Source organism: Homo sapiens, chromosome 9, assembly GCF_000001405.40.
Source record: "Homo sapiens chromosome 9, GRCh38.p14 Primary Assembly".
Classification (NCBI taxonomy): Eukaryota; Metazoa; Chordata; class Mammalia; order Primates; family Hominidae; genus Homo; species Homo sapiens.
In genome coordinates this window covers 132,662,853-132,669,739 of record NC_000009.12, presented here as the reverse complement: position 1 = coordinate 132,669,739, position 6,887 = coordinate 132,662,853, and the positions used below count along the sequence as shown (strand labels likewise).

General features: G+C 44.2%; 1 protein-coding gene across 16 annotated transcripts in view; it reads left to right on the top strand.

Moving 5' to 3' along the window:
• DDX31 (DEAD-box helicase 31) overlaps positions 1–6,887 on the top strand; it is a 76,987-nt gene that overhangs the window by 244 nt on the left and 69,856 nt on the right. For 4 of the 16 annotated variants that reach the window (NM_001322341.2, XM_047423735.1, XM_047423734.1 and 1 more), the window contains one exon: positions 67–170. The exons of 10 other annotated variants lie outside the window; for them this stretch is intronic. In NM_001322341.2, coding sequence (NP_001309270.1) covers positions 69–170 — 102 coding nt within the window. In that variant the 5' untranslated portion in view covers positions 67–68. Of the gene's footprint in view, positions 1–66; positions 171–6,322; positions 6,369–6,413; positions 6,519–6,887 lie in introns of those variants that run through there. 2 more of the 16 variants (NM_001322342.1, NM_001322343.1) reach the window with 2 other exon arrangements.

The following is a 6,887-nucleotide window of genomic DNA, read 5'->3' as shown; positions in this document are numbered from 1 at the left end:
GACACCGGGCAGCTTCGGGACAAGTTGCGCCGAAACACGTGTCTCTAACCGGAACACCACCCGCAGGGATGCGCCTGGAAGCGGGGAGTGGAGCGGTGTGGAGGGGCGGGGAGCTGGCTCCTGCGCCTAGAAAAGTAAAGGAAGGAATTAGAGGCTGTTTCCCGTGGAAGGTAGGACCTGAAGTTCCGGCGCAAGTCCCAGGCCAAAGCTTAACTTCTCTAAGCCAGTTTCCTCGACTGAGTGCGGACTAAGCTCTGATTTTTTTTTTTATCTTGCCCACATTCCTGTCTGGGAAGAGTCATGCCCTACAAACCATAAATTCTCATCAGATGGCTTTCATTTAACCCTATATATCGTGACTTACTTTCCAAACTGGCTCTGGCCTAACATTATGTGACAAAGAAGAAAGTTAAAATATTACCCCTAAACATGTTTCTTTGCCACATTTTGAAATGGCTTTGCAAAGCTGTTCTTTGGGGGGGGCGGGCGGGGTGGACATTTGCATCTGCAAAGAATCTCTATTAACATAGCTAGATCTTTTTCTTCCAGGCCCTCCCAATCCTAAAGAGATTAAGAGTCTACCACCTTTCAAAGATCTGAATAGGAAACACTTGTCTGTTGTCTCTAAGGGCAGCCACTAAAGACTTGAAAAGAACCTTGGTCTCCACAATCTTTTATCTTAACCTGAGCATTTTCTTTGTATCCATCCCAGGTGTTTAGACAAACTCAACCGTCAACTAGAAAATGTTTAAATTTACCTATAGCCTGGAAGCCCCCGCTTTGAGTTGTCCCACCTTTCTGGACAAAACCAGTGTATTTCTGAAATGTATTTGATGTCTCATGCCTCTCTAGAATGTATAAAACCAAGCCGCGGCCGGGCGCGGTGGCTCACGCCTGTAATCCCAGCACTTTGGGAGGCCGAGGCAGGCGGATCACGAGGTCAGGAGATCGAGACCATCCTGGCTAACAAGATGAAACCCCCGTCTCTACTAAAAATACAAAAAATTAGCTGGGCGTGGTGGTGGGCGCCTGTAGTCCCAGCTACTCGGGAGGCTGAGGCAGGAGAATGGCGTGAACCCAGGAGGCGGAGCTTGCAGTGAGCCGAGATCATGCCATTGCACTCCAGCCTGGGCAACAGAACGAGACTCCGTCTCAAAAAAAAAAAAAAAAGCTGCACCCCGACCACCTTGGGCACATGTTCTCAGGACCTCTCGAGGGCTGGATCATGGGCCATGGTCACTCATACTTGGCTCAGAATAAGTCTCTTCAGATATTTTTGAGTTTAACTCTTTTGGTCGCCATGAGGAAGGTTCGTTTGTTTCAGGAATGAGGACTGGCAACTAGGAGTTTTTTTGAAGAGCTTTCAAAAATGGGACAGATTTTCATCCCCATGCAATGGAGGGGGATAGGAAAATCGGTTTCATTGATATAATCCCATTGCTAGAGAGGGGTAAGATGCCCTAGAATTAACTTAAGCAGTAACTGAAAACTGGTTTCTAGGATAGTTGATTTGTCTCTTAGAAAAGAGGACTACAGGACAGAAAGACTGATTAAAATCATAAAGTGATCATCAAACTTTAGGATTTAGATGTTTGGCAGTAAGGAGTCCAGCTAGCCAAGTGTAGCTGCATCTGGGTGGAGCGGGGAGAAGGATAGAAGAGCCACTGGGAGCATGGGATTTGGAATAGGATACACTTGGGATTCGGATGCTGCCCTTGCTGCACACTAGCTCTGTGACCTTGGAGCAAGTCACTTAATCTTTCTGATTCTCACTTTTCCTATCTATAAAATGAGAACAATAATTTCTACTCCATAGAAGACTATTGTAAGGATTCATTGAGATAGTATACATGAAGACTATACGTTGTCTGGCCCATAGAAGCACTTAATAAATGCCAACAGTATAAAGTAGTTTTGGCTCCATTTTGGATAATAGATTGCTACATCAGGAGGTCAGTGGGGTGCTTGTGTCCTCTGCAGAGCCTGGTAACTAACACATAAGAAGCATTGAGTAAATACATATAGGCTACCTAGTTTTATGGTTATCAAAAGGGGATTAATTAATGCAGTGATGACAGGTGTCTGCGGTGGCCTTGTCTAGATCTACGTTTTTTGTTTTGTTTTGTTTTGTTTTTTTGAGATGGAGTCTCGCTCTGTCTCCCAGGCTGGAGTGCAGTGGCGCGATCTCTGCTCACTGCAAGCTCTGCCTCCTGAGTTCACACCATTCTCCTGCCTCAGCCTCTTGAGTAGCTGGGACTACAGGTGCCCACCACCACACCCGGCTAATTTTTTTGAATTTTTAATAGAGATGGGGTTTCACTGTGTGTTAGCCAGGATGGTCTCCATCTCCCGACCTTGTGATCTGCCCACCTCGGCCTCCCACAGTGCTGGGATTACAGGCGTGAGCCAGCCAGGCCTAGATCTACATTTTCATTGATGTCGTGAATGAGAATGATGGATATGCTGATGAGACTTGCCAGTAGCCTGAACTTGAGATGGGTAGCTAATATACTGGATTTAGAAAGACTAACAGCTTAAATTATGCTGTATCTAACACTATGCAGAAATTTTCTCTCTAAAAATACTTTCTGGGCTGGGCGAGGTGGCTCACACCTGTAATCTCATCACTTTGGGAGGCCGAGGCAGGCAGATCACTTGAGGTCAGGAGTTGGAGACCAGCCTGGCCAACACGGTGAAACCCCATCTCTACTAAAAATACAAAAAAAAGGCTTGGCGCAGTGGCTCACGCCTGTAATCCCAGCACTTTGGGAGGCCGAGGCCGGTGGATCACGAGGTCAGGAGATCGAGACCATCCTGGCTAACACAGTGAAACCCCGTCTCTATTAAAAATACAAAAAATTAGCCGGGTGTGGTGGCTGGTGGTGGGTGACTATAGTCCAAGCCACTCGGGAGGCTGAGGCAGGACAATGCTGTGAACCCAGGAGGCGGAGCTTGCAGTGAGCCGAGATTGCGCCACTGCACTCCAGCCTGGGCGACAGAGCGAGACTCTGTCTCAAAAAAAAAAAACAAAAACAAAAAACAAACACAAAAATAGCTGGGTGTGGTGGTGGGTGCCTGTGATCCCAGCCACTCGGGAGGCTGAGGCACGAGAATCACTTGAACCCAGGAACCAGTGGAGGTTGCAGTGAGCAGAGATCACTGCACTCCAGCTGGGGTGACAGTGTGAGACTGTCTCAAAACAAAAGCAAAACAAAAAAAAATTTCTGATATTAATACAAATTTATTATAGAAAATTAGGAAAAAAGATTTTTAAAAACCCACTCATAATTGCCATACTCAGACAATGCTTGTTGCCATTTTGGTGTATGTCCTTTTAGAGAACAACTCAAAATTGGAATCACTACACATGATGTTTTCTTTTTTTTTTTTAACTTATCAAAAATTAAGAATTATTATGAAGCTCTATTTCTTCAGACAGTCTGGAATAAGGTGCAAAACTGTACAAATTGACCAGCAAAGGAGAAAAGAGAGCCCAGAAGCAGACCAATACAAAAATGGAAATTTTATTCATGACCGAGATGACACTGCAAATTGCTTAGGAAAAGCTGACATTTTTAATAAGTGGCACTGGAACAATTGGTTGTGTGGTTGTGTGAATTTAAAAACTGAAATTGGAACCTTATCTCGCACTATGTATAAAAAACCAAATCCATGTGGATTAAGACTATACAAGGCAAAACTATAATGTTGAGCAGAAAGAGTAAGTTTCCAGCATACACATGTTTTCTAAAGCAAAGAGGATGCAGTTAATAAAAGGGATTATAGTATTGTTGTGAGGCCTCTAGAATGTAGAATCATGATGCCTGGGGAAAGCCTGGTTCCTTCAGTGATTCTGGGACAAATTACGTCACATCTCTGCCTCCATGTTTGCATCTTAAAATGAGATGATAACAGTACCTGTGTTGATAAATGAGAGAATACATGTGAGTACTTAGTATACTCCTTGGCATATAGTAACTACTCAGTATGTTTATTAATATCAAAGCCATGGCATCTTAGACTCTCAGGTCTTGATGGGCCCTAGAGGTCATCTGCCAAAATCCCCTCATTTTACAGGTGCGGCAACAGAGACTCAAACGAATTTTTTAGTAGATTTTTAGTAGATTTTAGATTTTTAGTAGTAATTTTTAGTAGATTCAGATATGTCCTTGCTCCCTCTCTGCTCAGAGGCTACCTCACGAAGCATTCTTGGTTTTCTTGCCTCCCTCTCCTTTGCCAGAAGGAGGCCATGTTAGTCTAGCTTTTGTTGGTGCTCTCATAGCCTTTTTTATGTACCTCTTCTGTAGCACCAATGTAGAGGTTGGATTTATGCCTTTATACTTTTGTCTCCTCTGCTAGTGTGTAACTTCCTCAAGGGCTTGGCAAATCTACTTTGTATCTTCAGAACGAAGCTTCTTGACAACTGCTAAATGAATGTGTTTTGGATGCTGGGGGAGAAAAGCTAACAAGTAGTAGAACCGTATCCAGCTGGTGGAAAGGGATAATTCCATTGTGTGTTATTCATTCATCTTACAAGTATTTGTTGAGTGCTTACTCTGCCAGACAGGGGCCTATACAGGGGATACAGTGCTATGTAGGACAGACTGGCCCCTTTCTTGTGGAGCTTACAATCTAACGGGAAAGACAGACATAAAACAACGAGTTCCGTGCTATGCTTATTATTTTGTCGAATGCTATGGAGGAGAATACGGGTGCCAGGAGAGCCAAGAACAGAGCACCTTGGCTTGACTGGGTGAAGAGAGGTCAGGAAAGGCTCTTCTGAGGAAGGAGTTGGTCAGCCTCCATCTGAAGGATGAGTACAGGGTGGCCAGCCAGAGGGCAGAGTGGAGTCCTGGATGTGGGAGTAGCATGTGCAAAGGAGGAGGAAGGAGCACAGCACATTCTAGGAACTGAAGGAAGACCCGAGTGGCAGAGAGTAAAGCTGAAGCTGGTGAGGTGGCCAGAGGTCAGATTCTAGAAGGCTTTGTTGATCATATTACAGTTTTTTTTTTTTTTTTTTTTTGAGCGAGGGTCTTACTCTGTCACCCAGGCTGGAGAGCAGTGGCATCATGGCGTCATCACGACTCAATCCAGCCTTGACCTCCCGGGCTCAGGTGATGCCCCCAACTTAGCCTCCAGGTAGCTGGGACTACAGACATGCACCACCATGCCCAGCTAATTTTTGTATTTTTTTGTAGAGACAGGGTTTCACCATATTGCCCAGGCTGGTCTCGAACTCCTGGCCTCAAGCAATCAGCTCACCTCAGCCTCACAAAGTGCTGGGATTACAGGCATGATCCATGGCACCTGGCAATATTACAGATTTTTTAGTTCAGCCTAAGAGCAATGGAAAACCTAATGGGTTTAACTCTGAGTACTTGCTTTTAGAGAGATGTTGACATAGGAATAAAGGGTGACCAAGATGATAAAGGATCTAAAGTTGTGTCCTGTTTGAAATATTGAGTCCAAAGAAGAAAGAAAAGAGAGTTATGTGATATATGAAGGAATGTTATGTGTTAAGAGGAAGTAAGCTTGTTCTGTGTTGCTGCAGAAAGTATACCTCAGACTATTAGGTAGATGTTCAAGGATGCAGATCTTGCATAAATGTCAGAGACAGCTTCCTGATTCCTAGAATGGGTCATGAACAGAATGGGCTGCCTCATGGGATGCAGGAGGTGTGCAGGGAGAGGCTGCCAGTCCACCTGCCCGGGACTGTCAGGAAGTCCATGTATGGCGGGAGTGGCCTTTAAGAGTTTTTGTGCTCCAGGAGTCCTGGGTCTGTAAATCAGGTGAAGTCTGCACATTTCATACTGTCTTGCAAATGATTCAACAAACCTGAAACTTGATTTCATCTCTTTCTTTAATCTGAAAATTCATAAACTTGAGATTTTGTAAAAAATAAATTTGTAAGATGGAATATGTCCGTTTTTACTTTATTAATATTAGATATTTGAAGTTGTATTTAATTACTTAGGTAAAAGAATCCTTAGGGAACAAAGAACTGTTGTTATTGGTAGGTTAGTCTGAAGCTGACAGTCATGGCTAAAGAAAGCCGACATGTAAAACCAAGTCATTATTTCAAGCAAAGAGGAAAATAACATATTCTGAGAGAACCCAAAACTCCAGAATAACAAGCACTGGCTACTCAAGGGATGCTTTTATATTCATTTGTAAATCAGAAAAGAAGGCCAAAGAAAATAGAGGAATTGGATGTTCCTTCTCCTAGGGGAAGTTTGGACATCATGCATTTAAGCACATTCCTGTAATGGAAATAAGAAGCAACAGGCAAGAGATCCCTAGTGCTGTGTAGCCTGTAATCCGCAATCAGGCAGAGACTCGGGGACTCAGAGACTCGAAAGGCAAGGGAGGTAGGAAGTAATTGTGGTAGAGGTGATGGATGGAGCAGCATTCTCATTTGGAATGGGAACAGGGCGTAGGAATTTTCTCCAGGCCGTCTGAATCTGGAGGAGCAGCTTGAGAGGAGAGAATGAGAGAGATCCAGGCGCTAGGGTAGAATGGTAATGAATGTTTCCGCTTCCTGGGCACGGGCTGAGATGCGCATTCCCCCTCGCCCCTCTCTCCTGTGCGGTCTCCAGTGTGCTTTGTTGGTGGAGAGAAAAGATTCGTTTTCCCCCACCCCTCTTTTCTCCTTGGGTGAATGGGTTCCTAGGAATATGGATTGACACACCCTTCACAAGGTGGATTCTTGCTTCCCTTAAAACAGACTCCATTAGTTAACATTCAACTGGAAAAATGCTGCTTCTTCATCCTTACCTTATCTTGATTGATTTAACAGTTAAGAATGGCTGGTGAGGTCTGGTAGATGAGTGAGCTGAGACTTTTTTCTTTTTTCTTTTCTTTACCTTTTGGAAGAAGCTGAGTCAAAG